At 42.1% G+C, this 17,300-nt stretch overlaps 1 protein-coding gene across 20 annotated transcripts in view, besides 1 other annotated feature; it reads left to right on the top strand.

Moving 5' to 3' along the window:
• Nucleotides 1-17,300, top strand: part of DDX59 (DEAD-box helicase 59) — a 29,103-nt gene that overhangs the window by 5,164 nt on the left and 6,639 nt on the right. For 7 of the 20 annotated variants that reach the window (NM_001349802.3, NM_001320181.2, XM_047431461.1 and 4 more), the window contains 5 exons: nt 658-825; nt 5,628-5,717; nt 14,068-14,319; nt 15,518-15,670; nt 16,177-16,305. In NM_001349802.3, the coding sequence (NP_001336731.1) occupies nt 658-825; nt 5,628-5,717; nt 14,068-14,319; nt 15,518-15,670; nt 16,177-16,305 (792 nt within the window). 20 annotated transcript variants of the gene reach the window in all.
• Nucleotides 11,328-11,387: an enhancer, noted in NCBI's record as "active region_2301". NCBI's record gives its function as "activates an Ori minimal core promoter by ATAC-STARR-seq in GM12878 lymphoblastoid cells {active_cell/tissue: GM12878}" and the evidence as "EXISTENCE:reporter gene assay evidence [ECO:0000049][PMID:35858748]".

Below are 17,300 nucleotides of genomic sequence, written 5' to 3'. Positions count from 1 at the left end.
AGATTGTGCCATTGCACTCCAGCCTGGGCAATAAGAGTGAAATTCCGTTTTCAAAAAAAAAAAAGTGGGCAAAGAGAGGAAAGATAAAGGAGAAAAAATTGGAAAACTAAAGAGTAGTAGAAGATAGTGTGAGAAAAAAAAAGTGCTAGATTGTTTAAAATATAGGTCACGCATGCTGGAAGACCAAAATAGAGCCATAAAGCCCGAAATAGGATATGGGTATATATGTAAGTTATATGGACAAAGAAAGAAGTGAATCCACAAGAGAGCTAAGAGGGAAAGACCAAGGGTAGCATGCCAGCTTTGACCAGATCTGCATGGTGACTATTGGGTTCTCTCTTCAGGGGAGGATGACTGTAGATTACAGGGTCCAATAAACTAGGAGCAAACCTTCAGTTTTCTCACCTTGGTTACTGTGGACACCTCTCCCCAGCCCCATTTTGATCTTTCATTGTATTCTGTGTTATGTAAGAAATGGGTTTAATTTATGATGGTTTTGGAGGAAAAAAGTCTGCAGTAAGCAGAAGGCAGGAGGACTCATACCCAGTTGGGAACACTTTAAAGGGGCCATGTTCCTGGAATCCTTGTGAAGATTTAGTTCATATCAGCAGGAATTAATTGCTGGTGTTTTTAAACTTGTTTTTCACATCTTTGCAGAGCAAAACTCCATCTGCGCTCATTCTTACACCAACCAGAGAGTTAGCCATTCAGATAGAGAGACAAGCTAAAGAATTGATGAGTGGCCTGCCACGCATGAAAACTGTGCTTCTTGTAGGGGGCTTACCCTTACCCCCACAGCTTTATCGTCTGCAACAACATGTTAAGGTAAGCACTGATTTGATACAATGTCTTTGAAAAGTTTTGTAAGCAATACAGGAACTAGTGTTTTTTTTCCCCTTGAAGAATTTTTAAAAGTATGATTTTAGAGAGCCTTTAAATTCTTACCAAGTAAGCCTTAGGTTTTTTTTTTTTTTTTAGTTTGTTTTATATAGGAAGGGAAAGAAGCACAATTTATTGAGTGCCCATTATATGCCAAAGGCTGTTGAATGTTCTGACATGCATTATCTCATTTAAGCATCACATTTACTTCTGAAGGTGGGTTGGCATAATCCTTAGTCCATCTTTTATAGTTGAGAAGTTGAATCTCAGAAAGGTGGAGTTTATCTAAGGATCTATAGCTAATAAATAATAGTTGCCAAAATTGACCCTTAATTTACCTGTCTTTCCTCCTTCCTTAGCCATGCTGTTATGCGTAGTCTGTATTTTCTGGTATGTAAAAGTATGTAAAAGCAATGTGGTCTGATTCTAGCTTTGAAACTTGGTAGCTGTATGGCCATAGATAAGTTACTTCACTTCTGTGGGCTTCAGTTTTCTTGAGTTTGAATGGGTGGCTGAAGATACCTGCCTTTAAAATAAAAATGTTTAATGGAAGGTTTGGCACAGATGCTGACCAATCAAAATAGACTGCAGCTTTGGTGCAGGAGCTGGGTCCTCGGGGCCCCTTGGTGTTCTGGGCATTAACTGTTTAGTTAACTAGGGTGGTAGGGCGGCCCTGGCGACCCAGGGGACAAGCTGGGTTGGCAGGGAGTTGGGGAAGGGCACTCAGGGGGCTGGGGCAGCAGTACCAGCTGGGATGAAGCTCCTGCAGTATTCGACAGCTTCTATGGGTGAATATCAGCCTTTCATGTTGGAATCTTTTGAAGGTCAAATCAGATTTATCTGACAGATTTAAAGCCTGTAAAATGTTGTTTTAAGAAATTACAGGTTGATAATTAATGGGATATTGGATCAGTGATTTTTTAAGGTGGACCTCCAGTATATAAAACAGACAAAGGTGATATTAATGCCAAATTATAAGTTCAGCAGTATATATTTATAAAGTAAACAATACAAGTACTTTTGATGGGCATCAAATTTGAAGTTGGGTTAATGGAGTTTAACTGCAGTCTCATATCAACCTCTGCCTTAAATTTATTTTCATTGCAACGAATGGATAACATTATAATTCAAACGCATAAGTAGCTGCAAACTTCTAACAGCTTTTAAACTAAGCTTGCATTCCAATTCTTAAAAAAATATATGTTAATGTATTGGTGTTAGTCTCTAGTTGCCCAGGCTGGAGTGCAGTGGTGCAACCTCTGCTCACTGCAACCTCCGTCTCCCAGGTTCAAGCGATTCTTCTGCCTCAGCCTCCAGAGTAGCTGGGACTACAGGCGCCCACCACCATGCCCAGCTAAGTTTTTGTATTTTTAGTAGAGATGGGATTTCACCATGTTGGCCAGGCTGGTCTCAAACTCCTGAGCTCAGGTGATCCACCTGCCTCGGCCTCCCAAAGCACACATTTTTTAAAAAAACAATCTCAAACTTAAAGAAAGGTGGTAAGTACAGTAAATGGAACTTTTTTTTCCTCCCAAACCTTCTGGAAGTAACTTGCTGACTTGATGCCCTATCACCCCCATATACTTTACAGTATGATTGCTACAAACAAGGACATTATCTTACATAACTGTAATACAATTATGGAATCAGGAAATTAACATTGTGTATTAGTCCATGCTTGCACTGCTATAAAGAAATACCTGAGACTAATTTATAAAGAAAAGAACTTTAATTGGCTCATGGTTCTGCAGGCTGTACAGGAAGCATAGTGGCTTCTGCCTCTAAGGAGGCCTCAGGAAGCTTCCAATCATGGCAGAAGGCAGAGGGGGTGCGAGGAGCTTCACGTGGCCAGAGCAGGAGGAAGAAAGAGAGTGGGGAGGTGCTACACACTTTTAAACAACTAGATCTCACAAGAACTATCATGATGACAGCACCAAGGGGAAGGGTGTTAAACCATGAGAAATAGCCCCCATGATCCAATCACCTCCCTCCAGATCCCACCTCCAACATTGGGGATTACAGTTCGACATGCAATTTGGGTGGGGACACAGATCCAAACAGTATCACGTTGATAGAGTAGATTACATCAGGAATTAATATTGGTATCATCTACTCCTCAGTCCCCATTCACATTTTTATAATTGTTCCATCACTTTTTATAGCACAAGAATCCAGTTCAGAATCACATGTTGCATTTAGTTGTTGTGTCTTTGTCATCTCCTTCAATTTGAAACAGCTCTTCCATCTTTCCTTTTTTCCTCATAATCTTGGCCCTTTTAAGGTTTACAAGCCACTTACTTTGAAGAACATCCCTCATTTGATTAGATTCAAGTTACATGTCTTTGACAGGAATATCACAGAAGAGATGCTTTGTTTTTTTCATTGCATCCTTTTAGGTTGCACAGAGTATCAGTATGTCCTTTTCCTAGTGATAGGATCTGTAAAGTAATTGTCAAGTTTATTTTTTTCCCCTTTGAGTTTAGTAAATATTTTGGGGAGAGTACTTTGAGGTGTACTTTGAAATGTAAATTTCTCATTCTTCACCACACTTTGAATTTATTTATATATTTATTTATATCTGTATGGACTCACAGCTTCCTGTTATTCAAAGGTTTACAATCTATTATCATTATTTGTTTTGATACTCCAGTTGATCTCTATCTGGCCAGTGGAAGCACCTTCAAGTTGGTTTCTATGTCCTTTGTTCAGATCTCCATCATTCTTTGAGTCTTCCTTACCTTCTATCTAAAGAAGATGTTCCATACTTACATTTTTCTTTCCCTGCCCCAGCCCTGGAATCATGCCTTCTCCAAGGAGCCCTGGTTTATTTTACTAGAGGATAGTATTTAAAAAGAAAGATCTGGGCTATGTGCGTTGATTGCTATTGGACTATCACTGCTTCTAGGACTTCCCAGTGGATAGAGCTAGGGAATACAGTCATCGCTGGGCGTCTGCCAGGGATTGGTTCCAGGATCCCCTGCGTATGTACCAAAATCTTTGCAGACTTGAATCTTGCAGTTGGCCCTGCTGAACTCGAGTATTGTTGGTCCGTGTTTGGTTGAAATTGGTATGTTTCAGTGGACTCACACAGTTGAAATCCATGTTGTTCAAGGGTCAGCTGTATATCTAAGTGTGTGTTTTTCTGTATCTATATTTATTAGAAACCATGAGACTATGAGTTCATGTTGATACTTCCAATTCCAATTCAATGCAACAGGATTCATTCATGTTTGTAACTGACAGAAACCTGCCACTCATTTTCATTTATGTATTTGTTTATTTATTTGACCAATCCTCCTCTATGTAGCCTACCTCCCGCCATCAGCACCGCCCTGCCCACAGCGATGCCCTCCTCACCAGACTCCACCCTGCACTCTCCTCAGCCCCTCAGGCTGCAGCACCCCATGCAGGGCCGCCTTTCTGTGGAGGCTCCTGCTTGCCCACCTGTCACTCCCACCCCTCTCACCAGCCTGAGCTCTCTCCCAGGTGCCCTCTGAGAAAACATAACCAAAACCTCTGTTCAGCAAAGTTGCCCTCCAAGAGCAAGGACAACATAAAAAGCTTTTCAGATAAACAAAACTGAGAAAGTTAATACCAGTACACCATGTAAGAGAACTTTAAAACTAAGGTAGTCTACAGATAAAGAAGATTGTGCCAGAAAGGAGGGTGTGGGATGGAAGAAATAATGGTGGCCAAGGAAAATAGTAAGCATGTGGGTAAATCTCAGGAAACATTGAATGAAACAGTAATCATAATGAACAACCTGTAGGTTTCAAAATACAATAGAAGTTAAATACTGGCCAACAGTAGCTTAGAAGCACAGGGGAGATGTGATTGGTATTAAAGCATTTTTCCTTCTTGTTTAAAAAAAGGTAAAAATAAGCTGAATGCAGTAGCTTACACTTGTAATCCCAGCACTTTGGGAGGCCAAGGCGGGAGGATTACTTGAGCCCAGGAGTTTGAGACCAGCCTGGGTAGCATAGAGACCTTGTCTCTGCAAAAAAACAAAAAATTAGCCAGGTGTGGTGGCATGCCTGTAATCCTAGTTACATGGGAGGCTGAGGCAGGAAGACCCCTGGAGCTGGGGAAGTTGAGGCTACAGTGAGCCACGCACTCCCTGCTGGGTGACAGAGCGAGATTATATCAACAACAACAACAAAAAGCCCCCATTGTTAGCCACTAACATGTTATAAAATTATTAAGAGCCTTAAGCAACCTTAGAAATCACTTTGCCCAACCTCTTAATTTAAAAATGAAATAAAAAGCCCAAAGATGTTACGGAATTTTCACTTGTTTATAGAACCATAGCAATCAAACTGCCTACAAGGTCCTTCCTGGTGCCTTGGTGCCTGCCTCAGCCTGCCCCATTCTCCCCATTCCTTACCATTTAGAAACTTCACTGGCCTCCCAGCCTCAGGAATGTCACAGATACTTTTCTCCTTAATCACTCCTCACCTTGCTCATGCCCACTCATCCTTTAGGTTTGACCTGTGTGTTGGGTAGGACTGGATAGGTCCCTCCAGTTATGGCTTAGTGTATTTATCTCATGAGTACTTTCTGGTTTTATCTGTTTCTTCCTTTGTATTACAAGTTTCATGAGAGCAGAGACTATGTCTGGCTTATTCATCACTGAATTCTGGGTGCTTAACACAGTGTCTGGTACATATTAGTTGCTCAATCAATATGGAATGAATGAATGAAAATAGCTATTACTGATTTTTTTAATTTGCTTTTTCTCTTTTATTTAGGTTATCATAGCAACCCCTGGGCGACTTCTGGATATAATAAAGCAGAGCTCTGTAGAACTCTGTGGTGTAAAGATTGTGGTAGTAGATGAAGTAAGTAGTGGTATTTAAAAAACAGTTACATGATTTTACACAATTTATGGAAAGTATAGTTATATAATTTCATTGTATGTTCAGTACCTTTTCTCTCTCTCAAAAAAAACCTCAGGGACTTTTAAAGCATTGCAGCAGGTTCCTGTGTAGCACTGAAGCTAACATAATGTGTACTACACTAAAATTAAACCAGAGCTGTCTTTTCCTAATTGACAGAAAACACAAATTCAATATGTACTCTATTCTCAATGGTAAGTTGTTTTTTTTTAAGCATTTGATGCTTACTATTATTTGTTTACAAAAATAGTCAGTGTCAAGTAATGAGACAGGGTCTTGCTCTGTTGCTTAGGTCACCCAGGCTGGAGTGCAGTGACGGAAACACAGCTCACTGCAGCCTCAACCTCCCACACTCAAGTGATCCACCCACCTCAGCCTCCTGAGTAGCTGGGACTACAGGCACACACATCACCATGCCTGGCTAATTTGGTTTTTGTAGAGATAGGTCTCACTATATTGCCCAGGCTGATTAGTCTTGAACTCCTGGGCTCAAGGGATCCTCCTGCCTTGGCCTCCCAAAGTACTGGGATTATAGGCATGAACCACCATGCCCAGAGGATGGCCTTTAAATTTTTTTTTTTTCTATGTGGACATAGGCATCTGTGATCCTGATTTTCTATGTTACATATACTATAGAGGCATTTTTATACTTTTGGCCTACTTAATAAGATGAAGTAAAAGTGTTGTTTCTCAGTGATATTCTGCCATGGGAACATAGGACCATGTGCCAGCCCACCCTGGGCATGTGCCATTTCTGCCTGCGGGGCACATGCATCTTCCCACATGTCTCACCAGCAGTGACAGAGCAGAGGCCTGGCGTTACCCAGCAGTGATCACAAATGCGTGGTGCTGGGTGCTGACCAGGATAGTGTCTTAGCCTGCCTTCCATGGGCCCCAGTAAGTAGCAGTAGGATAGAACACATAGCCAGTACCCGCAAGACCAAGATTTGAACATTTACTCCACCTCCCATGAGAGCTTAGGCAAGCTGGTTAATCTTCTAGAGCTATGGCAAGGATGAAGAATGATGGTGAAAATGGCTTTTTTTTTTCTTGAGACAGTGTTTAGCTCCTGTTGCCTAGGCTGGAGTGCAATGGTGTGATCTCAGCTCACTGCAACCTCCACCTCCTGCGTTCAAGTGGTTCTCCTGCCTCAGCCTCCTGAGTAGCTGGGATTACAGGCACCTGCCACCATGCCCAGCTAATTTTTTTTTTTTTTTTTTTGAGACAGAGTCTTGCTCTGTCATCCAGGCTGGAGTGCAGTGGCGTGATCTCGGCTCACTGCAAGCTCCACCTCCCAGGTTTGTGCCATTCTCCTGCCTCAGCCTCCCGAGTAGCTGGGACTACAGGCGCCCGCCTCCATACCCAGCTAATTTTTTGTATTTTTAGTAGAGACGGGGTTTCACTGTGTTAGCCAGGATGGTCTCAATCTCCTGACCTTGTGATCTGCCCATCTCGGCCTCCCAAGGTGCTGGGATTACAGGTGTGAGCCACTGCACCCGCCCAAAAATGTCTTATAGACTGAAGAGTCCTGCTACTGCAAAGTCAGCATTTTTCTGGCGTGGCCATTTGGTAGAACTGACATTGCTAAATCTGATTATCATTAGACAATACTGTCACCCTGAACATGACTGGGCTTCCCTTTGTTGATAAGCCCCATGTTCTTAAATTCTCCCCATCTTATGAGCTAGAGAAGTAATTTTTTTTTTTTTTTTTTTTTTTTGTAGACAGTTTCCCTCTGTCACCCAGACTGGAGTACAATGGCACGATCTTGGCTCACTGCCACCTCTACCATCTGGGCTCAAAGTGATTTTTGTGCCTCAGCCTCCCAAGTAGCTGGGATTACAGGCATGTGCCACCAAGCCTGGCTAATTTTTGTATTTTTAGTTGAGACAGAGTTTTACCATGTTGGCCAGGCTGGTCTCAAATTCCTGGCCTCAAGTGATCTGCTCACCTTAGCCTCCCAAAGTGGTAGGATTACAGGTGTGAGCCACCGCACCCGGCCTGAGAAGTAATTCTTAATATGGATTTTAAGGTTAGTTTCCATTCATCCTCATTTCTCTCTTTGTTTTTAAAATTTGTTTAGAGACGGGGTCTTGCTATGTTGCCCAGGCTGGTCTTGAATTCCTGGGCTCAAGTGATCCTCCTGCCTTGGCCTCCCAAAGTGTTGGGATTACAGGCGTGAGCCACTGCACTTGGCCTCATCCTCACTTCTCTTTACAGCATTTTCATTTTCTTCCACTAACAAGGCTTCATGGGACACTTTCGTGCTGTGCTCACCATTATGGTACAAGGGAAGTATTCATTCAGCAAACATTTATCAAGTGCCTGTATGTGCAGCCTGTGTCCCAGCTCCTTGGCATTTAAGGAATATGGTTTCTGGGTGATCTAGAGGGGAAATGAGCTGGTAAACATAATCAGTTATATACTGAAACTGCAGTCAGTACAGAAGTATTATTTAGGTACAAATTGACCAATTCTGGATAAGTTTGGATGGCATCACAGAGAAGTTCTGAATAGCATTCAAGCCTACAAGGTGCTGAAATCTTGTTAGAGAGAAAAGATACATATACTGAAGTAAAGGCGAGAACGTTATCATATGTACAGAGATACAAAAGTACTAACATGATGTAGGCCAGGGGTTGGCAAACACTTTCTGTAAAGGACCAGATGGTAAATATCTTAGGCTTTGGGGGCCAATGTAGATGGTATGAAGATGAATGGGTGTGACGGGGTTCCCATAAAACATTATTTACAAAAACAGGTAAAGGTCTAAATTTGTCCCCAGAGCTGTAGTTTGCCAATGGCTGATAGAAGATACTAGTGAAAAAATTGAACTGTATGGCCAGGCACGTTGGCTCACGCCTGTAATCCCAGTACTTTGGGAGGCCGAGGTGGGCGGATCACCTGAGGTCAGGAGTGCAAGACCAGCCTGACCAACATGGAGAAACCCCATCTTTACTAAAAATACAAAATTAGCTGGGCGTGGTGGCGCGTGCCTGTAATCCCAGCTACTCAGGAGGCTGAGGCAAGAGAATCGCTTGAACCCGGGAGGTGGAGGTTGCGGTGAGCCAAGATCGTGCCATTGCACTCCAGCCTGGGCAACAAGAGTGAAACTCCGTCTCAAAAAAAAAAAAAATTGGACTGTATATGATGCCAATTTTTCAGAAGAAATAAGGTCAGAAGGAGAAATGAGAGAGTAAATATATTAGCACTGCAAAAAATGGCTTCTTAGAGGTAATGGGATTTGACCTGGGCTTCAAAAGATGGAAAAAGATTGAGAAAACTAGAGGATGTATCAGTTCTTCAAAGTGAAGGGACCAACATAAGCAGAGTCAGAAAGTCCAAGTGCATGTGTGCAGGGGGCAGAGAAGAGACCACCAGCTTGAAGAATTCTTCCTGAGAAATAATAGGAGGTAAAATTGGGTTGTTAGGGTGGGGCCAAATTATAGAGGGCCTGCACAGGAAGGCAGAGGAATTTGGATTTGATGTGGGAGTCAGTGAGGCTTTCTAAATTATTGAGTAGTGGTTTAAGAGGTTACCCTGCTGCGTGATACAGGAGAAATGAAAGAATCTAAGAGCAGCCAGCAATCCAGACAGGGGTAAGGGGTCACACGGTGGAGGCAGTAGGAGTCACAGGCCAAATCTGAGAGTTGCAGCGGAGGAGTCCCTTGTGAGTCTTCTGATGCCTGAGGATGAGAGAGGAAGAAGAAGGCAAGAGAGGTGACTCCATCAATTATAGTTGTGCCTTTAATTTTAAAAAGGACAAATGAGCAAATCTGGGTCTTGGTAGTAATGTTTGAGTTTGGCTTTAGACATGGTGAATTACCTGCAAATGATGAACTAAGGGGTAGTATTCTGAAGATCTAAAATAGGCATTGGGGAGTCCCTCTGAGCCTTTTCTGGCTCAGGAGGTTGCCGATAAAATTTTAAAAAATAAAATAGGCATCGGAATCCATGAAACGTATGGTTTCTCTAAGGGAGGCAAGTTAGAAATGAGCAGAAACAGAGGCAGGGGCTAGGGCTAAGGGCCTGGCTTGTGGAGTCTGAAGATGAGTCAGTAAAAAAGCTGCTTGAGACACCAGAGAGGAACTGAGAATGAATAATATCCTTGAAGAAGAGAGAACCATTGTTTCAAGAGGAGGATGAAGATGCAAATAGTCAGAGGTGAAAACTCAGATAATTCCTTTGAAATGATCTGCTTTGCGACCCTCCGTGTCTTCTGTCATACCTGTCCTTTGGCCTGGAATTCTCTCCCATCCTTTCTACCTGCTCTTCCTTCTTTATCTTTTAGTAACTCTGAAATCCCTCACTCCCCCTGTCAGATTTTAGGCCTTTGTTTCTCTCTGCTCTGTTGAACTGTGCATAGATTTTTAAATTTTTTTCTTAGCACAGTGTTTGCCCAAGTTTCCTTAATAATAGGAGTCACCTGGCTTGCTTAGTGACCATCAGACGAGACCAGACCTCTCACTTGGATATTCTGATTCAGTAGGTGTGAGTTGGAGCCAGGAATCTCTACAAACTCATTCCAGGTGATCCTTTTGTTTTTTTTCCCCTCAGGCAATTCTTTTTTTTTTTCCCCGCCAGGCTGGAGTGCAGTGGCGCAATCTCTGCTTACTGCAAGCTCCGCCTCCTGGGTTCATGCCATTCTCCTGCCTCAGCCTCCCGAGTAGCTGGGACTACAGGCGCCCACCACCATGCCTGGCTAATTTTTTGTATTTTTAGTAGAGATGAGATTTCACCGTGTTAGCCAGGATAGTCTCGATCTCCTGACCTCGTGATCCGCCCGCCTCGGCCTCCCAAAGTGCTGGGATTACAGGCTTGAGCCACCACGCCCGGCCCTTCAGGTGATTCTTATCTTCAGAGAGGTTTGGGCCACACTGACTAGTAAGTTGCCTGACATAGGAAGGTGCTTATTCAGTGCTTAGAATTAGTGTTCATTTATTTACAAAATATATCATTAGGGCTTTTCATGTGCTCACACTTGTTGGTTTTGAGAATACAGTGGAAGATGAGACACACAAACTGTCTCGTGTAGCTGTGATAAATGTACACAAGGCGATACGGCAGTGGCAACGAGGGGAGGGGGGTTACCTTGGATTGGTAGTCAGGGAGAGCTCTCTGAGAAGATGACATTTATGCTAAGATATGAATGAGAAGGAGCTGGTCATGCGGAGATCCATCTGGAGGGAAGACTTTCAGCCAGGTGCCAACAAGGAAGCAAGCATGAGGTATTTGGGAACAGAAGGAAGGCTGGTGTGGCAGAGTCACGAGCAGTGAGGGGAGAGTGCTTGGAGATGAAGTCAGAGAAGTGGACAAAGATGAGAACTTGTAAGACTTTTTGGTCATGGTTAGAAGTTGGATTTTATTCTAAGTGTGATGGGAAACCATTGGAGGGTTTAAGCAGAGGAGGATGAAGATCTGATTTATATTTTAGAAGAATCTATCTGGTTGCTTGAGAATTGGTTATGGGATGGGGGTGACGGGATTGCGAGCAGTCTTGCAAATATGAGTTGGGAGAAGCGACCAGCTCTGAGGTATGCTAGTGGGTTGACAGGATGATTAATGGAGTCAGTGTCAAGTGGTAAAGAGAACAGATGAAATAAGAGTTTCTGATGGCGCTGTTTCCTGAGATGTGTTCTGGGACAGGAGTGGGTTTGGCAGAAAGGAAATAGAAACTTCTGTTTTGAATGTGTTGAATTTGAGGGGCCTGTTGGAACCAAGTGGAGATGTTAAGTCGGCAGATAGTTTCTACCACTTGAGTTCGGGGAAGCAGTTGTGGCCTGAGATATGATTTTGAGAGTCTTTGATGCATGCATGATATTCAGAGCCGTGGAATTTGTTGATCTTATCTGAGGAGAGAGCACAGATGAGGAAAGAAGAAGCCTGTGACCCAGCCCATGGGGCTCCCCAATGTATAGAGATTGAGAGAAGAGAAAGGAGGCTCAGAGTAGCTAGTGAGGGAGGAGAAAAATCAGGAGAGGAGATGTCTGGGTGCAGGGGCCCACGCCTGTAATCCCAGCACTTTGGGAGGTCAAGGCAAGAGGATTGCTTGAGGCCAGTAGTTCAAGACCAGCCTGGGCAACATGGGGAAACCCAGTCTCTGCAAAAAAAAATACCAAAAATTAGCCGGGCACGGTGGCACATGCCTGTGGTCACACCTGTGGTCCCAGCTACTCAGGAGGCTGAGGCAGGAGGATCACTTGAGCCCAGGAGGCAGAAGTTGCAGTGAGCCATGATTGCACCCCTGCACTCCAGCCTGGCGACAGAGCAAGACCCTGTCTCAAAAAAAAAAAAAAAAAAAATGCTTTTTATGGCCCACTCTGCATTTTGAATAACATCTGTTGAATAATTTGTGCACATTAAAGACATGTTAGAAAGTGGGGGTGGAGCCTGGGCAACATAGCAAAACCCCATCTCTACTAAAAATACAAAATTAGATGGGTGTGGTGGCATGTGCCTGTAGTCCTAGCTATTTGGAAAACTGAGGTGGGAGGTTGGCTTGAGCCCAGGAGGTTGCACAGTAAGCCAAGGTGGCACCACTGCACTCCAACCTGGGTGACAATTCTTTTTTCCACTGAATAATATTAAAATGAATATTCAAATTTTAATATGGATGACAGCACATTAGTGGGCCCTTAAAAATACAATGCTGAGCTGGGTGCCCTGGCTTGTACCTATAGTCCCAGCTGCTTAGAAGGCTGAAGCTGGAGGATCTCTTGAGCCCAGGAGTTTAAGGTTCCAGCAAGCTAGAATCATGCCACTACACTACAGCCTGTGCGACAGCAAGACCCTGTCTCAAAACAAACACCCCCATGCCGTAATAGTTTAAAAGAATTATCCTGAATCAGGGCCCAGAAGGGGGAAAAAAAAGAATTAAATACCTCATTGTTCCCAAATTATAGACACCTGGATTGTATTTGCAACTGAAGATAGCCTTAATCTTTTTTTTTTTTTTTTTTTTTGAGACGGAGGCTCACTCTATAGCCCAGGCTGGAGTGCACTGGCACGATCTCGGCTCACTGCAAGCTCCGCCTCTCGGGTTCACGCCATCCTCCTGCCTCAGCCTCCCGAGTAGCTGGAACTATAGGCACCCGCCACCATGCCCGGCTAATTTTTTGTATTTTTAGTAGAGACAGGGTTTCACCGTGTTAGCCAGGATGGTCTCGATCTCCTGACCTCGTGATCCACCCACTTTGGCCTCCCAAAGTGCTGGGATTACAGGTGTGAGCCACCGTGCCCGGCTGGCAGCACTAACTTTAAAAAAATGTTTTTGTTTGCTTGGTAATTCATGGTTGTAACAAACCAACAGTATAGAAAAATATAAGTGAAAGCCCCTGTCTTAGTCCACTCCTGGTGCTATAACAAAATACCTTAGACTGGGTAATTTATAAACAGCAGAAACTTTTTCCCACAGTTCTTGAAGCTGGGAAGTCGGGGATCAAAGCTGTAGCCTTGATTCAGTGTCTGGTGAGGGCCTGCTCTCTACTTCAAAGATGGCATCAGCACCCTCTTCCTGCATCCTCACACAGAGCTCCATCCAGCCTCTTTTAGAAGGGCACTAATTCCATTCATAAGGGTGGAGCCTTCATAACTTAATCACCCCCTAAAGGCTTCCCCTCTTATTACCCGTACATTGTGGGTTAGATTTCAACATATGAATTTAGGGGGGATCACCACAGTTCAGACCATAGCAGCCCCTAACATTAACTTTTATTTAAAATAATATTTTATTATAAATGTAATCTGTGTTCATGGTTTAAAAAAAAAACAAACTTTGCAAAAAACTAAAAGTAGAATTGCCTCCCTTAAAGCCCTCCAGGCTTCTCCCTGGTATTAGCAATTTAGCAGTTTCTTGAGTGTATATACATATAATATTTTTGTAGCATAAATAGGTATCTTGTTACACATAATATTCTGTAATTTGCTTTTTTTTAACCTAGCAATCATTCATTATTTAATAAAGGGCTTTCTGATCATTTTTCTTGACAGCATAGTGTCATATGGATCTACCATAATTTAGCAAATCCCCTACTGATGAATATTTAGAATGTATATAGCTTTTTGCTACTATTAATAATGCCAATAATAACAATCTTTGTATATCATTGTAAACATTTAGTTGCACAGTTTATAATTTAGTATAAACATATTTTTCCAGTTCTCTTGACATTGTGGTATAGTTTTCTATTTAGGAATTTTTAATTTTTATATTGTTAATTATATCAGTCTTTTTTGGGGGTGGTTCTGGGTTTTAATGTCAAACAAGACTAACTTTAATACAATTTTATTTTAGGCTGATACCATGTTAAAGATGGGTTTTCAACAACAAGTGCTTGACATTTTGGAAAACATTCCTAATGATTGTCAGACCATTTTGGTTTCAGCCACAATTCCAACTAGCATAGAACAGCTAGCAAGCCAGCTTCTGCATAATCCTGTGAGAATTATCACTGGAGAAAAGAACCTACCTTGTGCCAATGTACGTCAGATTATTTTGTGGGTAGAAGACCCAGCCAAAAAGAAAAAATTATTTGAAATTTTAAATGTGAGTAGTAAAGCAGTTAACTATGTTTTATGGATTGTGTTTGCATTTTTCACAGCTCTTAAGAGAATGATTTTGAGATTGAACTTTCAGGGAATTTGATATAGGTATTTACTAATAAATTGCTTTACCTACCCTAGAATTCTATGAGAATCAAATAAATAGCTATTTGGGAAAACATGTTGGATAGATACAGGGTTGGGTTTTCTTTTCCTTATAGAATTATATTTAAATATCAAGATTATTCCTAAGGAATATGTTCTCCTTTGAAAATATTTTAGAAGGGCTGGGTGCGGTGGCTCAAGCCTGTAATCCCAGCACTTTAGGAGGCCGAGGCGGGCAGATCACGAGGTCAGGAGATTGAGACCATCCTGGCTAACATGGTGAAACCCCGTCTCTACTAAAAATACAAAAAAAATTAGCCAGGCGTGGTGGCACAGGCCTGTAGTCCCAGCCACTCGGGAGGCTGAGGCAGGAGAATGGTGTGAATCTGGGAGGCAGGGCTTGTAGTGAGCTGAGATTGCGCCACTGCACTCCAGCCTGGGTGACAGAGCGAGACTCTGTCTCAAAAAAAAAAAAAAAAAGTATTAAGTTAAATATGGTTGGTATTGACTTGGTAGCAGCATGTAGAGCTACATTAATCGCACTTAAAATGTTTGAATTACTCTTGGAGTATTAAGTGATGGAAAATTAAGAGGGGCAATAGACTGGCTTCTGTTTGTGCATATTTTAAATAAAACACTTATTTTAACAATATGCCTTTTTTTTCATTTTGTGTTTTGTGTTTTTTTTTTTTTTTGTGACGGAATCTCACTCTGTTGCCCAGGCTGGAGTGCTATGGCATGGTCTCAGCTCACTGCAACCTCTACCTCTCAGGTTCAAGCGATTCTCCTGCCTCAGCCTCCCGAGTAGCTGGGGTTACAGGCGCCTGCCACCATGCGTGGCTAATTTTCTTGTATTTTTAGTAGAGACGGGGTTTCACTGTGTTGGCCAGGCTGGTCTCGAACTCCTAACCTTGTGATTTGCCCACCTCGGTCTCCCAAAGTGCTGAGATTACAGGTGTGAGCCACCGCGCCCAGCCTCCTTCTTAACAATATTTATAAATCTATTGATAACTAGCTTGTGATAATCTTTCAGAAAAACTTCCCATTGTAAATTATTTTATATGAATAATTTTTGATATATGTTTTTAATTTTTCAGGATAAGAAACTCTTTAAGCCTCCAGTGTTAGTATTTGTGGACTGCAAACTAGGAGCAGATCTTTTGAGTGAAGCCGTTCAGAAAATCACAGGGCTGAAAAGCATATCTATACATTCAGAGAAGTCGCAAATAGAAAGGAAAAACATATTGAAGGTTTGACACCCAATATTCTATATTCTGTTTTCTATAAATCTGTTCTGCCTCATTTTCAAGAGATAACCATATTACAGCTGGTTTTTATAACAGATCCTCTTTTAATGACTACAAGACCATCAAACAAGCGGTTACCATGAAGTTAATGTTCTCTTGCTCAGGCTTTTTGTTTGGGGAGCAATAGCCTGTTCTCTAGGGAATATATACTAAATAGATTACTAATTCAAAACTTACCATTTCTGAAATCAGGTCAGTTTGGACTAGAGCAGGGCAGTAATTCACCTTTGGAAAAGGTTTGCCTGAATAAATTAATAAAATAAATTCCATGGGGATTGGGGAGAATTTTAGCTGCATACATTTTTCAGGTATACTATGACCTTTACTTATTGAAAAAATATTGCAATAAAAATATTGAAGTAAGCATTATAAAAAGAAAAGCTATCAGAATTACACAAAACCACACAAAATAAATTCTGAATAATAAATTTTGTTGCTTTTTTGGAAAGGGATTACTTGAAGGAGACTATGAAGTTGTAGTGAGCACAGGAGTCTTGGGACGAGGCCTAGACTTGATCAGTGTCAGGCTGGTTGTCAATTTTGATATGCCTTCAAGTATGGATGAGTATGTCCATCAGGTAAGGAGCTTTATATGTTACCACTATTTTGTTCACGAGTTTTATTGGGAAAGGCATTGTCAATGTGATAACCAAGTTTAAGAAAGCAGTATCGGCCAGGACAGTGGCTCACACCTGTAATCCCAGCACTTTGGAAGGCCATCGCGGGCAGATCACTCGAAATGGATGGATCACATGAAGTTAGGGGTTCACAGACCAACCTGGCCAACATGGCAAAAACCCATCTCTACTAAAAATACAAAAAAAATTTAGCCTGGTATGGTGGCAGGCGCTTGTAGTCCCAACTACTCAGGAGGCTGAGGCAGGAAAATCGCTTGAACTCGGCAGGAGGGGGTTGCAGTGAGCCGAGATCACGCCACTGCACTCTAGCCTGGGTGACAGAGACTTCATTCCCCCCTCCCCCCCCCCAAAAAAAAGCAGTGTATAAAACTGTATGTATTTTTGCTTTTAAGATTTTTTTTTTTTTTGAGACAGTCTCACTCTGTTACCCAAGCTGGAGTGCAGTGGCATGATCTCGGCTCACTGCAACCTGCGCCTCCCAGGTTCAAGGGATCCTTGTGCCTCAGCCTCCCAAGTAACTTGGATTACAGGTGCCCACCACCACACCTGGCTAATTTTTTTGTATTTTTAGTAGAGACGGGGTTTCACCATGTTGGCTAGGCTGGTCTCAAACTCCTGACCTCAAGTGATCCTCCCGCCTTGGCCTCCCAAAGTGCTGGAATTACAGGCGTGAGCCACCACGCCTGGCCTGCTTTTAAGATATATATGTATATAAACTAAATTTTGTTTTTGAAAGGTAAGTATGTATAAAAACTAAATTTTGTTTTTAAAAGTATGCCTAAAGTGCCTTAGAAAAAAAAAAAAACTAGAAGTAACCAAAAATGTTAATTAAAAAAATTTTAAGTAGTAAATTTTTGGTTTGTTTTTGTTTCTTTCTCTTATTTTCTTCAGTGAACATATAATCAGTGAGATTTTATAATCAAAAAGTTTTGTTT

The sequence above is a fragment of the Homo sapiens genome, chromosome 1 (genome assembly GCF_000001405.40).
Source record: "Homo sapiens chromosome 1, GRCh38.p14 Primary Assembly".
Classification (NCBI taxonomy): Eukaryota; Metazoa; Chordata; class Mammalia; order Primates; family Hominidae; genus Homo; species Homo sapiens.
This window is presented reverse-complemented; position numbering and strand designations above follow the sequence as displayed.